A 19233-nucleotide genomic window follows, 5' to 3' on the forward strand; every position below is an offset into this window, starting at 1 on the left:
GCGGCGCCGTGGAGCAGGGGGCGGCGCTCATCGGGGAGGCCCCGGCCGCACAGGAGCCCACGGAGGGGGCGGGAGGCTCAGGCATGGCGGGCTGCAGGTCCCGAGCCCCGCCCCGCGGGAAGGCAGCTAAGGCCCCGCGAGAAATCGAGCACAGCGCCGGTGGGCTGGCACTGCTGGGGGACCCAGTACACCCTCCTCAGCCGCTGGCCCGGGTGCTAAGCCCCTCATTGCCCTCACTGCTCCGAGTGCGGGGCCCGCCAAGCCCACGCCCACCCTGAACTCCGGCTGGTCTGCAAGCGCCGGGCGCAGCCCGGGTTCCCGCTCGCGCCTCTCCCTCCACACCTCCTTGCAAGCTGAGGGAGCCGGCTCCGGCCTTGGCCAGCCCAGAAAGGGGCTCCCACAGTGCAGCGGTGGGCTGAAGGGCTCCTCAAGTGCCGCCAAAGTGGGAGCCCAGGCAGAGGAGGCGCCGAGAGCGAGCGAGGGCTGTGAGGACTGCCAGAACGCTGTCACCTCTCAAAATGACGTAGAGTTTGCAGATAACCTACTCACATCCTCCCGTATGCTATGTAAATAGTTGTTATGTGGTATTGTTTAGGGAATAATGACAAAGAAAAAAGTCCATATATGTACAGTGCAAACACAATAATAAGTTTTCAAAAAATATTTTGGAGTCAGGCCTGGTTGAATCCATGGATGCAGAACCTACAGATATGGAGGATCAAATGTAATAAATCTCTCTCTCTTACTATATATATGTGTGTGTGTATAGTGTGTGTGTATTTATATATACTGTGTGTGTGTGTATATGTATGTATATGACTATTGATACAGTGGTAAGGAGTAGGGGAGGGAAGTGTTCCATAATCCTATGATTAGGTCTCAGTCTTGTGGTGGGCCTGTGCCCCTGGGCTGTGACCTTCAAAAGTGCTTCTCAAATTTTGTTCCCTCTTAGGTGAGACAGGATGGCTAGAGGTCACTGGAGTTGGGTATTTCCCTTTCCCTACATTGGTTAGACTCTGGAAACAGAATTTTCTTTTGAGGGCATGTGTTTGTTAAGTAGAACAGAATGCACCGGGCATATTTTTCAACAGTTACCTCTCCTTCCCCTCCAGAAGCACTCAAGGAGTTTTCTCTGATTCTCACCCTAAGTCTTCTGGAGACAAAACTCATGAAGGTATGGGAGGCTCCCACTAGTTAGGCCCCCAGGAGTTTTTACCTCTCAGGCTAGGCTGCTGTCAGCTCCAGCAATTAGCCAACTCCCTTTGAAGTATGTCTACCCAATGCTGGCTCCAGTGGTGGTTTCTGATCCAGGTAAGTTGTGATTCTCTGTATTTGCCCATGGCTCCAGGTTTCATAGGGTTGGCATGTCTTAGGACCTCCATTTTCTGTTGCATATAAGTAGTTATTGATGTTCGGTTTGTTCAGCTTTTTTCTGGTGAGAGTGGGAGTGATGGCTTTTAAGTGCTTTACAAGTCTGGTTGTCATTTCTGATAATCATGTGACAATTTTGATCTCTTTAAAAAGGTAATATGTTTAATTCAGGAATTGCGAAAAGCCTTGCAGCAGCTACAAGAATTGCAGAATAAGAGCCAACAGCTTCGTGCCTGGGAGGCTGAAAAATACAATGAGATTCGAACCCAGGAACAAAACGTCCAGCACCTAAACCATAGTCTGAGTCACAAGGAGCAGTTGCTTCAGGTGAGTTTACATGATTTCAATGAACACTGGGCTCATAGAACTCTGAAATTTGTTTATATAATTTTAAGATATTAATCCACCTGTGCTGAGTCCCTGCTATATGGAAAACATTGAGAGGTGGGAATCAGGAGGATTTAAAATAAATAGAAAATATAATTTGTGAATTAAGATGCTTACTAACAAGTGTAAGAAACAGTACATATAGCCCTGATTTATGCAGTCTTTTATGAAGTCTTTTATAAAGACTTAATATTCAGAAAATAGTTATTAAGCACCTCTGTGAGTCAAACACTTTTCTGGGTGTTGGGAAGACAAAAGATTTGGCTACTGATCTCAGTGTAATAGATGAAGACAAACTGTACAGAAACTTCCAAAGAGTAATTTTGATGATAGAATGAAAGTTTGAGGGGAAGATGGAGCATTAAGAAGAGACTGATCTGTTCTGCCACCTACTCTAAGCTTCAGTCACATTGAATCCACTACATTTCACTGAATGTACAATTTTTTCATTGTATGCATAGTGTGCATATTTTTTTTTCTCTAACATGTCCTCCTCTCCATTCTTCACTTAGGAAATCCTAGTCCTTTAATTAAGACTCACTGCAAATATTACCTCCTCTGTGAGGTCTTTACTGACACCTGCAGGCAGAGTTAGGCAGTGCATCCTGTGTTCCCCTGGTGGCTAGCGTATGTTGCACAACAGTTAATTCTATGTGTTGTGTCTGGTGTATGTTGCAGAATACTTTACAATTTATGTCTGTTATCTCTGCTAAACTTGTTACTTTTGAGGAGAGTGATCACATCTTGTTTTTTTATCCTGAATAACTAACAAATTACTTGGCAATTTAGTTAATATTGGATAAAAGAATAAAAGAAACGATGTTTTGGTCTCAGGAATTTCGGGAGCTCCTACAGTATCGAGATAACTCAGACAAAACCCTTGAAGCAAATGAAACGTTGCTTGAGAAACTTCGCCAGCGAATACATGATAAAGCTGTTGCTCTGGAGGTATGTATCATCATTTCGCCCACTATGCTATGGATTATTCTATCTACATAGGTATTATAGAAATTTGTGTTTACTTAAATTTGCTGGTTTTGGATTTGGTTTTCTATTCTGCCATCGTGTTAAATAACAGCGATCAGGATAGATTATTGAACAGATGGTATGTGAGCACTTGGAAAGTGGTGAGCATTAGAAACCAGAATTTCTCTAAGAGCAAGGTAGGACAGATTAAATAAGTGGAATGAAGGGTTTTGCAAAGACAGAGATGTACCATTCTCCAGGCTGCGGGGGATGTTGAGCCAGCATGCTCTTCCCACCAACATAGGGCCTTCCTTCCCTGCTCCTTAGCTCTGTTTGTCAGGGCGGATGTGCTTGGGGTCATCTTCCTGCTGAGCTCTGGCCCCATGAAAATAAATCAATCCTCCTGTGTTCCTCTCACCAGAGCACTCCCAGGAGATGGAAAGCCTGAGGGAGGCTCTGCTGTCCTCTCGATCCCACCTTCAAGAGCTGGAAGAGGAGCTGGAGCACCAGAAGGTGGAAAGGCAGCAGCTTTTGGAAGACTTGAGGGAGAAGCAGCAAGAGGTCTTGCATTTCAGGGAGGAACGCCTTTCCCTCCAGGAAAACGACTCCAGGTAAGAGGGGACCCATTGACAGAGAAGGTAGCATTCTTCATTCTTACATTCATTCTTACATTATAAGAAGGGATATTGGCAAGATAATTGGTGTCCTCTTTTGGAAACCTCAATGTTCCCTCTGCCATTCCTGATTTTTGTGTGTCAGTGGGGTGGGGGGAGGGGCGCTTTGAGCAGAAGAAAGGACTTCTCTGGGAATGCCTTGTCACTCCCAAGTTGAGAGAGTAAAACTCTGTTATAGAAGTCTTCAGTATATCAGAGACATGAAAAAGAAGGGTCCCCATGCTTCCAATTAGATATAGGACATTAGTCTCACCATCACCTAGGAAGCTTCTATACTGGCTGTGATGCTTGGTCCCAGCATAAGCCCTGTAACTGCTTGTCAGGATGCAAAGAGCACTGTAGGAGCAGTAAGGAGACTGTGCTGGTGTGTCTGTTCTGCTCTGAACTAATGTAGGTAATGGTGTGTTTTCAAGCAAAGTTACTTGACCTCCCTCAGCCACCATTTCCACATCTGTGAAATAAAAGTGATGATCTTCCTGACCCCCTGAGTTGACATCTGGGGCTCAGAGGTAACCCTAACCGTAACCCTTTATGACCCTCTGAGTTGACATCTGGCTCTCAGCCTGTTGCTCTGGTGTGGCTGAGTGGCTCTGCCATCTCAGTGGGCCTTGCCTCTCCCTGGTCAGACTGCAGCACAAGCTGGTTCTCCTGCAGCAACAGTGTGAAGAGAAACAGCAGCTCTTTGAGTCCCTCCAGTCAGAGTTACAAATCTATGAGGCACTTTATGGCAATTCCAAGAAGGGGCTGAAAGGTATGTGTTCTTCTCCCCTCACCCCATGAGCTTTTTGCCCTTGCATAGGATGCTAGTGAGGTCTTTCCTTTGGGAGTTGTGGAGATCATGGGAAGCTACAGAGTTCTGTCTCAGAAACTCCCACCCGAGCCTGGGGCTCCCAATAAGAACTCTCATACACAAAGCCCAAGGTGACAGGTTGGTGACACGAACAAGATCCAGCCTGATCATTCCTAATTATTTTAAGAAAATCTAGACATTCCTATCAATGTCTAAATTATAACATTTTTGAAAGCAAAAGAACTGTCCTAATGATATCATCATTTGAAAAGGCCTTTAATATTGTCGGTGATACATACTGACAACCCATTCAGCCCAATGCAGCAGGCAGTCCGCTCCCACCCTGACCCTTTCCCTAGTGACATCTGGCGCTCAGCTTATTGCCCTCTCATGTAATTTTCATAAATCCTGATTTAGTTTCCTGATTTTCTAAAGAGAAGGTGAACTGGAATTTGAAGAAATACAGGGGCTTACCAGGCTGAGCGAATAGCTTAAGTACAAAGTCATGGTGAGTGTTGAGTCAGTGGGGACCAGCCTGCCCACAGGAGAAAATTAAAAGACACGAAAACAAAAAACCCTTATAGAAATACCACTGATAGGACCTAAATTTCAATCCTGGATTTAAATATTAAGGACATTTATTGAAGACTTTGTTGCCTGCTGAAATAATAATCTAATATTTGAGAATTTGATATATTTCTTCATTCTTTAAATGGAGAAGGGTATTCAAAACATAATGTGAATAAGTCACAGCAGGCTGGGACAGAGGACTGACATCAATGTCATGAAATTTAGCAAAGATAAAAAGCAAAATCCTGAGCTCGATTAAAAATATCAGTGGTAGAAATATAGGATGAGGGTAGAAATATAGGACAGGCGGCCATTCGTGGACTTGAGAGTATGGGGTTTGGTAGAAACATGATCACACAAGTAAGTCACAGGCCAGAGGTTGCTAGAAATGCCAGCTCAAACTGACACTACAGTAGTGTAAGTGTGATGTTCGCCTGTGGAGACCATGGTCTAAAATATTGTTAGATTAAGGGGCACTATCTTTGAAAAGGGCATTGACACACTAGGGAACATAATGAAGACAGGGCGCACAATGGTGTGGACCAGAAATCTCCAACTGGTCAAAGAAACTAAAGAAATGTAGGCTTTCAAAAGATCTTGAGGACATGAGAACTGGCTTCGGATATTTGAAGAAGTGTCAGGTGAAAAAGAACTCATGTATTTTATGTCCCTCCAGGGGGCTAAACAATGCGTGAAGGGCAGTGGAATTTAGATTGGAATTATCATAAATCCTGATTTAGTTTCCTGATTTTCTAAAGAGAAGGTGAACTGGAACTTGAAGAAATAGAGGGGGCTCACCAGGCTGGGAGAATAGCTTAAGTACACAGTCATGGTGAGTGTTGGGTCAGTGGGACCAGCCTGACCACAGGAGAAGCTTGGGGTTGGGGGAGTGAGAAGTCAGGATGGTGGAGTAGAGCCACCAAACCGTGAAAGCTCACAGGTCAGGGTGAAAGTTGACATTCTGTAGAGTAGATAATGAAACTAAGTCTATTCTTTTTCAAAGAAGATAAGCATATGATGAAAACAGAACTTTAGGATGCTAAGTCTCAGGGGATGTCCTGGAATTGGGAGACATTAGAATCTGGGAAACCTATTGGATGGGTCTAGTGATATTCTGGCACATTAAGAGATGACAGTCTAATATAAGGTGCTGTTGGGAAGATGAAAGGGTATAGATAGATTTTAAAATGTCTCTTAAAAAAATAAGCAAAATTTAGTGAGAACTTGGATTGAGAAAGAGAGAGAGGAACTTCATAAAACTTCGGGCAAAATTCAAGAGTAGATTATTTACCAAAGTCTCTGAAACGACTTCATCCTGAGCTCCCTTTCCTTTCATGCTTTTCTCCCTGCCTTTTAGGACTCATTTCAAAGCTACAACCACTAAAGCTCCATAATCCCTTATCTGTAATTTCAAAATTCAATACGATCTCCAAACTAAATTTTTCAAATACTCATTTAGTGACAAAATCTAGATGATCTGACATGAGGATATTCATAAGTCTTTATTTATCTACTTAGGATATTCACATAGCTCATTGCGGAAATAGTTATATGTTTGATTAAGGATTGTGGTTCACCTGCAACTGGGTACATGTTATATATGATATATGCACCCTGTTGCCTTGCTAAAAACTAAAACAAATTTTACCTTTCGAAATACATTTGGCCTTAAGGTTTTCAGATAAGGGATTGTAGCCTTGTAGAATATTTCTTAGATCTCTTCATCCCCAGTACAAAGAAATAGACTACATGTGGTGAATGGAGGTAAATACATGTACATATATATATTTGTATATATATGTATGTGTATATATGTGTGTATATATGTACATGTATATATGTACATGTATACACCTATATATAGTATGTATATACACACACAACATATATATACACACTATATGTAGGTGTATATATATGTACACACACATACACACACACACACACACACATATATATATATATATAGAGAGAGAGAGAGAGAGAGAGAGAAATTGAAAAACTCAGTTATAATCCCTGGTCTAATGTGCCCAACTCGCATTCTCACATGCTACCAAAAGGCCTCCTCCTTCTCCTCTTTCATTTTTGAGAGTGAAGACTGTGAAATCTCTTTCTCCCTCATCCCCTACCCTTCTCTAGCTCAGTACTGACGTTCTACCTTGGAGGATCCTATACTTTAGCCTACAGGACTAAGGTTACTATGGAGATGAAATATGGACTTATCCTTATCTGCCAATCAAATGCTCTATAGGTGCATGTGTGTAACTTAAACCGCAAGGAAGTTTCAGACTGGATGTGTGCCAGCTCAGTGCCATCCCCCGGCCACACACAGAAATGGTGACATCTCCATCATAGATGGGTTGCATGAGACTCAGATGATAGTGGGGTCCTTGGCAGAAAAGAATGTCACAGAGGAGGGTTCTGACAAGTGCTTGGAAATACTTGGGTCAATGTTACCAGACTCCTCTTCTCTCTTAGCTTACAGCCTGGATGTCTGTCACCAAATCCCTTTGAGCAGTGACTTGAGCCACCTGGTGGCAGAGGTACGAGGTCTGAGAGGGCAGCTGGAGAACAGCATTCAGGGGAACAATTGTCTGTGACTGCAGCTGCAACAGCAGCTGGATAGCCTGCTGGCAAAGCCAGCCTCAGCCCCTCCTCTGTTAACCAGAACTTCCCAGCCAGCGCTGACCCTGGAAACAAGCAGCTGCTCCTCCAAGGTAGGAAGGAAAAGGGACTTAGAAAGCCCTTGGCCAGTGGGGAGATCACCAGGATGTCTGCCTGGTCCATGCTCCTTATGGTCAGGTTGAAATCAGAGATGCTCTAGTCTAGCAGCCTGAGTGAAAGCGTGGGATTTAGGTCAGACTGGGCTCCAGATTCTGAGTTTACCGCTTAGAGGTCGTTTGATTTGGGCAAGGTGTTTAAAGTCTCAGAGGTTTAAGCCTTAGTTTCCTCATATTTAAGATGAGGATAATAATAATATATACCTTATATGATTTTGACCATTAAATGAGATCATTTACAAGTGCTTGGCACACTAAGAATTGCTCAATAATTAGTAGCTGTATATGTTCATATCTTTTTCTTGGATTTGCTTGGTGCTTTAGTTTTAGCCAAGTGTTTTCACATATATAATTTCACCTGAAGTAAAGCAGGTTTTGCTATCTCTGTATTTCACATAAGAAAACTTAGGTCCTGAGATATTAACAGACAAGCGGGGGTTTAGAGAAGTTATAGACAAAGCCAGGATCAGAACCAGATGTTGTGATTTTCAGTCTGTGTTCCTTCCAGCTCATTGTGCCCTCTCTCAGTATTGCTGACCTTCCCAGATTCTCTAGTCCCCCTTTCCCTCACAGGTGGGGAACTCAGTGTGTGGTAAAATGTTCCTGCACCCAAGGAAACAGGGCTCTGGGGAAGTCCTGGATGGTGGGTGATTTATTTCGGGTGGCCATCATTCGCTTTCTCTACCCCACCCCTTGCCTGCCTTTTCAGATAGGCGTGTTTGACCAGGTCCCCCTTCTCTTCTCAATATCCCCCATCAATCTCACTTCTCCCAGTTTTCATTGAAATGTCAATGGTGTCCCCCTAGTCTCTTAAATCATTCAATTTCTACTTCCTCTGTCCTTTTCTCCTTTTGATACACCGTTTAGTACACCATCTCCACTCACCTCCATGGCCATACCTTCAATTTTATTCAAATCAGGAACCACTTCTGTTCAGTTTCTCTAAAGCTGAGCTTTCAAACTCTCCTGCCAGCTATTTCTGGGTCATGTTAATCTTTATTTTTCTCTGGTTCTTGTAGATGCTCATTTATCTGACAGTAACCTTATTTGTCAAATGAAGGTGACAATAACATGATTATGCTGTTTTCAGCTTACATTAGGTGGATGCCTTGCCCTTCTCTGGGCTGCCCTGATGGTTGTGGTGTTCAGTGATGTCTCCAACTCTTCCTTCTTTCTAACCAGGCCTTCCTCTCTCTCTGGCTTCCCACACAGCAGCCAAGACTCAGCCCCACTGGTGCAGTCCCTGCCCATCTTTCTCTAGCACCCCTGAGGCCTGAGCTGGAAAGCAGGCACTGGGCCACACTTGCCTGAGTAGGACCTTTTCTACCTTCTTTGTGATATTTTCCAATTCCTCCACCATAGGGTTGCTTTTTAGTCTCCAGCAAGATGTTAACCCACCAAGCCCTCTCTCTCCGTTCTTCTCATACAAGTCAATTTCTTTCAGTATTACCTCATCAGAATGATGACTAGAATGTTGAGTTTAGTCCCCCATGAATCCATTCATTCCTTGATTCTTTGATTCTAGATTTTAATATGTACTATGTATATTTATACATATTACATTTAGTTACGGGGCATCGTATTAGATACCACACACAAATTATACTCAAGACTTGGTTTATAAAAATACACCTAATAATTTTTCAAACTAGAAGTTACATTCTCCTGGAACACCCCTCCATTAAAGGAATATCTTTTTGTTCTGAAGAATGGAAACATTCTGAACTCAGTGACTCATGGGCTTTTGCTTTTGCTTGTGGGGTATGGATAATTCTGTAAGAGGAGAGTCCTGCCACCTTAGGTCTCAGTGGGGACGGCTAGGTGTGCATGTGCTTCATGTGCAGTGTGTTCCAGGGCTCCTGAAAACTGTGGTTGCCTTTACCCCCTAGATTCAGCTGTGTCCCCTCCAGTCCGGGATGTTGGTATGAATTCCCCAGCTCTGGTCCTCCCCAGCTCTGCTTCCTCTACTCCTGGCTCAGAAACGGCCATAATCAACAGAACACATGGTAAATATGGCAACTAAAGGGCCCAGGGACTGATGTTGGAAAGTGATTAATGCAAACAACCTTTTGTTGTCTCTAAACATATTATCTGTATTTAGAGAGTTTTCTCTGCATGCCCCAAGGCCTTTAGCCCTACTCCCTGCACCTTCTGTGGCTGCCTTTCTTGCCATTGTTCATCCTCCTGTAGTTTTCCTACTGCTGTTTTTGCTTCATTGTGCCATAATCTCTCTATTCTTGAAAATGCTCTCTGTATCCAGCTTGACTTCCTTGTCTGTGTCTTCTCTACCCAGAAACTTATTATTTATGATTCATCCTATTTCATTTGCCAATAAGGAAAAAATTGTCTCCTGGCAAATTTATCATTAAGAGATAATGTAAGAAAGGTTATAAAAATATAGAAGCCAGAAGATCTCTGTGGACTTTGCCCCACCCTTGTACATTCCCAGGCTTCCTTTCTTGTTCCCAGCCTCGTCCTTTTCTTGTTCCCTGCCTCTTTTTTAGTTGGAGCAAACTGAGGATATCGTTATGAATAACAGAAGATTCTGTTGTGTTGTCATTTTCTTTTTCAGGCTTGGGTTTGGATACTTCTCCAGTAATGAAGGCCCCTCCCAAGCTGGAGGGTGATGCTACTGATGGCTCCTTTGCCAATAAGCATGGCCGCCATGTCATTGGCCACATTGATGACTACAGTGCCCTAAGACAGCAGATTGCGGAGGGCAAGCTGCTGGTCAAAAAGATAGTGTCTCTTGTGAGATCAGCGTGCAGCTTCCCTGGCCTTGAAGCCCAAGGCACAGGGGTAATCACACCTGAAGCTTTAGGTGCACTCTTTCCTTGTGCCCTTTCTTCCTTTGATGTTAACTCCTTCTCCCACCATTTTTGTTTTTTTCATGCTTTGCATCTCTCAACAGCTGAGGCTTCCTCTTCCATGCATAGCAGCCAGGCCCTTTCTTCTCTATCTCCTATTTTCACTGTGAGTTCTGCTCTTTTCCAGATGTAGCTGACTGGATATTTCCCCTCAGCCCCACAGAAACACGTGGCATTGCCTAGCAGCCTTTGGTAGCTTATTATCTACCACAGTCATGCAGGCACATGACCATATGTGGGCAGAGTCAACTCAATGGGATGGACAGAAACTGAAGGATTTGCAGGTGTATGGCCCCCACATATGGAAGGGGTGAGAAGCCTGGCAGCCAAGGCATTTCCTTGTGCAGACTGCATAGGGGAGGGAAGGCAGTCAGCAAAGCTTCTGAGAGCACCTTGCCAGTGAGAGAGACCAGGAACCTGTGGCTATGCTGTCTGAACTGCTGGAGACCCATGGATGCATAGGGACAGCCCTGCCTCCATGGAGCCCCCACACTGGAATGCAAGACACACACCCAAGTAGATAGGCACAGTATGGGGCTACAGGCACAGTATGAGAAATCATCCTCTGTGCTGTGAGAGCACCAATGCAAATGTGGTCATTTATCTCAGGCAAGGAAGGTAACAGATTCATAGAGGACATAGCAAGGGGGGTGAGTTTTGAAAGCCTTGTGGGTTCTGCAGGTGGAGGAAGGCATTCCTGGTAAAAGGAGCAGCACCTTAGTTCTGAGAGCTGCAAATGGTTGTGCGAGGGCTTCACAGGTTCAAGCAGGCCCATGTTCTGCGCCTCACTCACAAAGGAAGCTTGAGCCCACGCAGGGGGAAGAAAGTAATCTCTCCGCTCCTGTGGTGTTACCTTTCCCCAGGTGCTAGGCAGCAAAGGCATTCATGAGCTTCGGAGCAGCACCAGTGCCCTGCACCATGCCCTAGAGGAGTCGGCTTCCCTCCTCACCATGTTCTGGAGAGTGGCCCTGCCAAGCACCCACATCCCTGTGCTGCCTGGCAAAGTGGTAAGATGCCAGTGTCCTTTCTTGGTTCAAACCCAGTTCTCCTGCCCTCCAATACTGTTCTGTCTCCTCAGTGTCACAGCTTTTCCAGAAAATCAGGAGCCACATAGTGAATTGGGATAGACAGGAACTTAGAGGAGTGTCCCTGGAGGGACATCTCTGACCCTTGGTGGCTGCTTTCATTGCAGCTCTAAATACATCCCATTCCCCACCAGCCCCCTGACCCCTGGATAAGAAATCAAAGAAGAAGAGGAAGGAGTGTGGAGAAGGCGGAGACATCATAACCCTGGCAATCCATAAATGTTCAGTTTCTTTACCTCTCTGAAGTTTGGATGAGCTGAAATTCAGTTAAAGCTTTAGCACCCATCTCCCACCCCACAGGTCCCGTGGTCAAATGATCACAGAATGCCCCATGAGACTGAGCCTTTTTAGCCACTGCCTGGAATCCCAACATACAACTTAAGCTGGCATCGCTGGACCAGGCCTGGGGAAAGTCAGCCTCCCCTCAGGATCTGCTCAGAGCTCAGGCTAACTCTGATTGGCAGACCCTCATGTAGGCAGGTTTCAGGATCCCCTCCCCAGGGATTCTACTTCCAGGTCAATGGCACCAATACCTTTTGGATCCAACTATGCTAATTCCAGGGAGAGGGTGTTGTGCCATCTTCATGTTGGCACAAATATTTACAAACTTGCAAACTTTCCTGAGTCCAGATCTCTCTCCCCAGCATAACATTTCTGAACTCTCAATCTTACCTGTGAAGGGAGAGTGACAGAACTGATATCAGGACTAAAGCAAGGTCCTCTTCAGAGTTGGGAGTTTGATACCAGCCTGAGGCGAGGTTCTCTTAAGCTACAGGTGTGTAGGCCTGTGCTAGTCTGCATGGGGAATTCCAGAGTCTCATTATTCCTGCCTAATGGCCTCATCCTAAACTGTCCTCAGCTGGAGGTATTCGAGGCTGTGAAGGAGGAAATCCAGTTCAGGAGGGTTGAGAAGATTGTAGAATCCTTCTTTGAACTGGAAAGAGCCACAAAGCACAGGGTGCTTTAGGCCTTCTGCCTGGTCAGTAAGAGTCTGTTCCTCTTATCCAGGGAGAATCAACAGAAAGGGAACTTCTGGAACTGAGAACCAAAGTATCCAAACAGGAGCGGCTACTTCAGAGCACAGCTGAGCATCTGAAGAACGCCAACCAGCAGAAGGAGAGCATGGAGCAGTTCATCGTCAGCCAGCGTAGGTTCCCTGAGAGGGAATGGGGGAAGAAACAGGCAGTCTTCCCGATGCCCCACTTGTGCTGCAGATGAGAAGTGATCAGGGGGGCTTGGGGATGTTGGGAGTTGAGACTGATTTGATGTCCCCAAACCTCCTGTGCCATGAGCAATTGTGGCTGCAGAGGGAGGGGAGGACAGGGGGTGGATAGAAGGAGACTCCAAGCTGAATAGCCAGAAAGAAATAAATGCTTTAGAATTCTCACGCTAAGCAAGTAGGGTTAATTTCTGCTGGTGATTTCTACTCTGTGGTGCTCTTTTGTTGTTTCAGTAACCAGAACACATGATGTTTTAAAGAAGGCGAGGACTAACTTAGAGGTAAGGAAACTACTGCACCAGTCAGAGGCACCAAGCCTGTCCCCCACCCATCACCATCCGTTAGCAGATATTGTAGGCAACCCTTGGCCTGCTTTGGCCTTCCAGGAGAAGATTTCCAGTCCACTTGCAAGATCACAGGTCCTCAGTGAGCTTCCTGATAGTTTCTGTTCCCATCACCCTCCCACCCCATCAGCTCCTGCCCCTGTATCTTGGTTCACTCTCACATTGTGATCATCTCTCCTTTTTACTCCAATTTTTCTTCTTTGATGCCAAGTTCGGAGACTGGAGAAATGCAATTCAGCTCACCCTTGAAGTTGTTAGACATTCAGGAGTCTGCCTCTGAATGAGCTTTTGGTAGAGGGATCTTGAGGCCAGTTATGTGTTCTACTGTTCATGAAAAAGTAAAAGCAATTTGCAACCTAATAAACTGATTTCACTGCATACCCCTGGGTTAAGAACAGCAATTTGATTTTGATGTATCTTTAAGTAACATGACAAAAGAGATCTGTTGTGTCTCATTGGTCTAAAAGAGAATTTGTTAATAAATAACAACTGAACCTTAGGGGGTGGGGGCGGAATGTTACATATGTACCAGACATTATCGACATAAAACACTAAGTGTTAATCATTCCCTAGGAAGTGCTTTGAAGAAAAACTTGAGGTATATGAAATGGTTTAAAAATCAGAAACTAAACCTTTTAACGTGGACTTCAAAGCTTTGCCATAAGCAATTCAGCATATTCCTAGAAATGTTTCTAAACCATAACCTGAGAGAATGTTGATCTCCATAGTGTAAAAATGACTTGGGCCAGTTTAACTTGCTCTTTTTTTTTTATTTTTTCACTAATTCCCTTTTATTTTTCTCTGATAATTCTTCTCTTTCCTGAGCCTCTTTAGAGCAGCACTTACAGGATTGCCTGTGTAAAGCCTTATTCCTGTCCCAGAAAAGGTAACCGAAAAAGTCTCTAGTATCCTCTAAAAGGTAACCCAAAAGTCTCTATTATCCACTGGCTTTCTCCAGTGTGGAAGCTTTCCCCTCCACCTCCCATAGATCACTGGGAAGGACCTGAGGCCTCGGTTCTAATCCCAGGCTTATCATTAACTGCTGTGTGGCTTTGGCTTGTCCCTTAGTCTCTGTCAGACTGCTGCACCCTCATCTGTCAAAGATGGAACTGGACTTAGTTGAGCTCTGAGGTCCCTGTGGACTTGGCCCCTCCACACCCTCATTATGGCAACTGGACATAAACTTAACAGAGGACTTCCCAGCAAAATGTCCTCTTCTTCCTACAACAGGCTGTTTCTGTATGTGCATGTTTCACGCTAAGCACTTCTTTCTTGAGTGGAGATGACAAAGGCCTCTTTCTGCTGAGACAGTGATTTGGAGAGTCACCTGGCCCCTGAAGAGGGAGTGGTAGGATCCAGCCACCCAGTGTGCAGTGAATTGGAGCAGGGATCTCAGCACACAGGGAGGTGGGGAGGCTCCCCCTAACCTCGGGCACCTGTTGCTCCTCCAGACTGCAGCACATGCTCAGCTCATCCTCTTAACTGGCTCTCACTGTGCTCCTGGCTTTGGTCACCACGTAGCTCTCACTCCAGTTTCAGGTAGCCATCAGTAGGGCCTGGCAGTATAGGGCACTGATTTGATTTATTTTTGTCTGCAGGTGAAATCCCTAAGGGCTCTGCTGTGTACTCCAGCCTTGTGACCCTTGCTTTCCAGGAACCATGCAAGAAGCGCAGCCACCAGAAGTCCTTATATAGGTATACATAGTCCTTTGGTAACAAGTCCTTTGTTATATAGGTATACATGTGCCATGTTGGTTTGCTGCACCCATCAACTCTCCTAACGCTATCCCTCCCCCAGCCCCCTACCCCACAACAGGCCCCAGTGTGTGATGTTCCCCTCCCTGTGTCCATGTGTTCTCATTGGTCAACTCCCAGTTAAGAGTGAGAACATGCGGAGTTTGGTTTTGTGTCCTTGTGATATTTTGCTGAGAATCATGATTTCTAGCTTCATCCATGTCCCTGCAAAGGACATGAACTCATCCTTTTTTATGGCTGCATAGTATTCTTTGGTGTATATGTGCCACATTTTATCTAGTCTATTATTGATGGACATTTGGGTTAGTTCCAAGTCTTTGCTATTGTGAATAGTGCCTCAATAAACATAGGTGTGCACGTGTCTTTATAGTAGCATGATTTATAATCCTTTGGGTATATACCCAGTAATGAGATTCCTGGGTCAAATGGTATTTCTAGTTCTAGATCCTTGAGGAATTGCCACACTGTCTTCCACAATGGTTGAACTAATTTATACTCCCACCAACAGTGTAAAAGCGTTCCTATTTCTCCACATCCTCTACAGCATCAGTTGTTTCCTGACTTTTTAATGATCGTCATTCTAACTGGCATGAGTGGTATCTCATTGTGGTTTTGATTTGCATTTCTCTGATGACCAGTGATGATGAGCATTTTTTCATATGTCTGTTGGCTGCATAAATGTCTTCTTTTGAGAAGTGTCTCTTCATATCCTTTGCCCACTTTTTGATGGTTTTTTTTTTTCTTGTAGATTTGTTGAAGTTCTTTGTAGATTCTGGATATTAGCCCTTTGTCAGATGAGTAGATTGCAAAAATTTTCTCCCATTCTGTAGGTTGCCTGTTCACTCTGATGGTAGTTTGTTTTGCTGTGCAGAAGCTCTTTAGTTTAATTAGATCCCATTTGTCAATTTTGGCTTTTGTTGCCATTGCTTTTGGTGTTTTAATCATGAAGTCTTTGCCCATGCCTATGTCCTGAATGGTACTACCTAGGTTTTCTTCTAGGGTTTTCATGGTGTTATGACTTACATTTAAGTCTTTAATCCATCTTGAGTTAATTTTTGTGTAAGGTGTAAGGAATGGATCCAGTTTCAGCTTTCTACATATGGCTAGCCCGTTTTCCCAGCACCATTTATTAAATAGGGAATCCTTTCCCTATTGCTTGTTTTTGTCAGGTTTGTCAAAGATCAGATGGTTGTAGATGTGTGGTGTTATTTCTGAGGCCTCTGTTCTGTTCCATTGGTCTATATCTCTGTTTTGGTACCAGTACCATGCTGTTTTGTTTACTGTAGCCTTGTAGTATAGTTTGAAGTCAGGTAGCGTGATGCCTCCAGCTTTGTTCTTTTTGCTTGAGATTGTGTTGGCTATGAGGGCCCTTTTTTGGTTCCATATGAAGTTTAAAGTAGTTTTTTTCCAGTTCTATGAAGAAAGTCAGTGGTAGCTTGATGGGGATGGCATTGAATCTATAAATTACCTTGGGCAGTATGGCCATTTTCATGATATTGATTCTTCCTATCCATGAGCATGGAATGTTCTTCCATTTGTTTGTGTCCTCTTTTATTTCATTGAGCAGTGGTTTGTAGTTCTCCTTGAAGAGGTCCTTCACGTCCCTTGTAAGTTGGATTCCTAGATATTTTATTCTCTTTGTAGTAATTGTGAATGGGAGTTCACTCATGATTTGGCTCTCTGTTTGTCTGTTCTTGGTGTATAGGAATGCTTCTAATTTTTGCACATTGATTTTGTATCCTGAGATTTTGCTGAAGTTGCTTATCAGCTTAAGGAGATTTGGGGCTGAGACGATGGGGTTTTCTAAATATACAATCATGTCATCTGCAAACAGGGACAATCTGACTTCCTCTTTTCCTAATGGAATACCCTTTATTTCTTTCTCTTGCCTGATTGCCCTGGCCAGAACTTCCAATACTATGTTGAATAGGAGTGGTGAGAGAGGGCATCGCTGTCTTGTGCCAGTTTTCAAAGGGAATGCTTCCAGTTTTTGCCCATTCAGTATGATATTTCATAGTTATAAAATTGATTTCATTTTCAAGGATATGGTATAATACCTACTTTATAAGCTTTTTGGAGAAATAAGTAAAATTATATATGTAAAGCACTGGTCACATAGTGGGCTCAATAAAGTTATTATTTTTATAGAAAGAGAGTTGAATTAAGTTTGACAGGCAATGGAGAACTATTGAAGGATTTCAAAAAGAAGAAAGGCAAATCAAACTGGGTCATTAAAATCACCTGCCAGTAATATAAAGAATTGATCGAGGGATGGAACCTATCTGGGACACTACTACAATAGTCTGGAAAAGAGTTAATGAGGGGTAATTGAGGGGGAGAACTTATGAAAGTGAATGGCCCAGCTTTCCCTTAGGGGTGCTGTTGACAGGGCCTGCCAGCTGATACGGTACAGAAAAGGGAGAAGTGGATATGATTGAGAGAACTGTGCTATTAACCGAAGTCAAAGGTACGGGAAAAGAAACAATTGTGGAAGGAAATGGATATGTTTGATCTGGGAAACACTGAATCCAACTCCAGATGGAGATTATCCAGGAGGCATTTAGAAATCTGTAACTTTGGCAAGGCGCGGTGGCTCCCACCTGTAATCCACTTTGGGAGGCCGAGAAAGGCGGATCACCTGAGCTCAGGAGTTTGAGGCCAGCCTGGCCAACATGGTGAGACCCCATCTCTACTAAAAATACAGAAATTAGCTGAGTATGGTGGCGGGAGCCTGTCATCCCAGCTACGTGGGAGGCTGAGGCAGGAGAATCGTTTGAACCCTGGAGGTGGAGGTTGCAGTGAGCCAAGACTGTGCCGTTGCACTCCAGCCTGGGTGACAAGAGCAAAACTCTGTTTAAAAAAAAGAAAAGAAAAGAAAAGAAAGAAACAGAAATCTGTAACTTCATTCTAAGAAAGAGATGGAACTAAACATGTAATATTAGAGTCATTTTCATTTAGATGGTAATTGAAGCCTTGGCTGCAGATAAGATTTTTAAAGGAAGGGAATAGTTGGGGAAAAGACAAGAGGTTGAAGAATGGAAACTCTAGAGGAAAACAACATGCTGTAGATAACTCATTGAAAAGAAGTAGGGGGACCAGAAAAAGAAGGATTTGAACGTTTGGAACGTTTCTCCAAAGAGAAAAGAAAAGCTGGCCAACAGTGCAGAGTATAATTGATCCCGCAGGCACACATTTGTGAGCATAAACACAAATTGGTAGGAACAGAAACCTCTTTCTTTACACACCTGAGTTGCCCTTGAATCTCTCTTGGCATTTGACTGCCATCTTTTTGCTGCTTTCACTTCTTTCCTTTCTCAGCAATTTCAGAGCCTTTTCATTTTGACCTGCATTTCTGCGGTTGCTTTAGTAGCTTTGAGTTGTTCTTTTTTTTTTTTCCCTCTCTTGCCTGTGAACTTGTGGGAAAATGCACAGCACAGGCGATCTGAGGAAGCCCCTTAGGGTAATCCAGCACTGATGCTTGAGAATGTCAGAGAAAGAAATGAAACTGAGCCCACCTGGGCAAATCATTGAGGTAGGCACCTGGGTGTTCCCCTTTTAGGGCAATCCAACACTAATAATAATGATACCATATGGTTTAGGATCCGAATACAGACAGCCTGATTCACCTTGAAGTTTCTTGGAAAAGGTGCTGCCACCTCTCACATAGAACTTTCCCACTTCTCAGCTTTTGGTACTATCCTGATGTTTCTCTTTTCATGTTGTTTTATGCAGTAATTATTTCTTTCCATACCATACCATTCAGGGTCCTTGAATGAGCTCATGTCCACTAAAACCAGCTTAAATTTTGAGAAAGTTCCTGCATAACTTATGTTGAATGCATTATATACTTGCAGACAGTGGTAGTCTTGTATTTGTCGTAATCACATTTTCATGTGATAATGTATTATACATCAATAGCCTGTTGGCAGTGCATTTAGTTCTAGTGTGGGAAACTTGTAGGAACAGATCAGGTATGGTTTTTATTTTCCTGCTGATGAGGATTGTGATGTCTACATTCAGTACACCCTGAATGCCTGACTGTTAATGTGTCGGTTTTAAGTGTAAAAGCAGAATTGGCTTTACCAAGGACAAAGAGAACACTTATCTGCTTAGTGGGTTTTTTTGTTTTTTGGTTTTTTGTTTCTGTTTTTATAATGATTTTAATAACTTTTAAAGTGCACTTATTAACTAAATAGAATTAATACTTGTAAATGAGAACAATTAAAATATGCCAGGGTCCTAAAGATTATAATTTACTGAGTCTGGGTCAAAACTTGGGCATCTTATTTTTAAGAAGCTTCCCTAATTCTCTAATGTACTTTAAAGTTTAATGATTACTGTTTGTTTGAAATTAGTTAGAAAACTTAGTATAAGTAGGGAACTTATTGCTATTACTAGTAACTATTGCACATAGTTATTCCTACC

General features: G+C 43.6%; 1 pseudogene across 2 annotated transcripts in view; it reads left to right on the forward strand.

The window, feature by feature from the left end:
• The first annotated feature begins 483 nt into the window (after positions 1–483).
• The window catches only part of PDE4DIPP5 (PDE4DIP pseudogene 5), a 61117-nt pseudogene continuing 42367 nt past the window's right edge, over positions 484–19233 (forward strand). Inside the window, exons 1-11 of one of the 2 annotated variants that reach the window (XR_007066539.1) lie at positions 484–724; positions 1525–1698; positions 2593–2706; positions 3146–3335; positions 7237–7475; positions 9428–9544; positions 11269–11412; positions 12499–12637; positions 12944–12990; positions 13888–13939; positions 14652–14748. The product of XR_007066539.1 is annotated as a PDE4DIP pseudogene 5, transcript variant X2 (transcript). Of the gene's footprint in view, positions 725–1524; positions 1699–2592; positions 2707–3145; positions 3336–7236; positions 7476–9300; positions 9545–11268; positions 11413–12498; positions 12638–12943; positions 13667–13887; positions 13940–14651; positions 14749–19233 lie in introns of those variants that run through there. The other variant, XR_004837564.2, reaches the window with a different exon arrangement.

The sequence above is a fragment of the Homo sapiens genome, chromosome 1 (assembly GCF_000001405.40).
Source record: "Homo sapiens chromosome 1, GRCh38.p14 Primary Assembly".
NCBI lineage: Eukaryota > Metazoa > Chordata > Mammalia > Primates > Hominidae > Homo > Homo sapiens.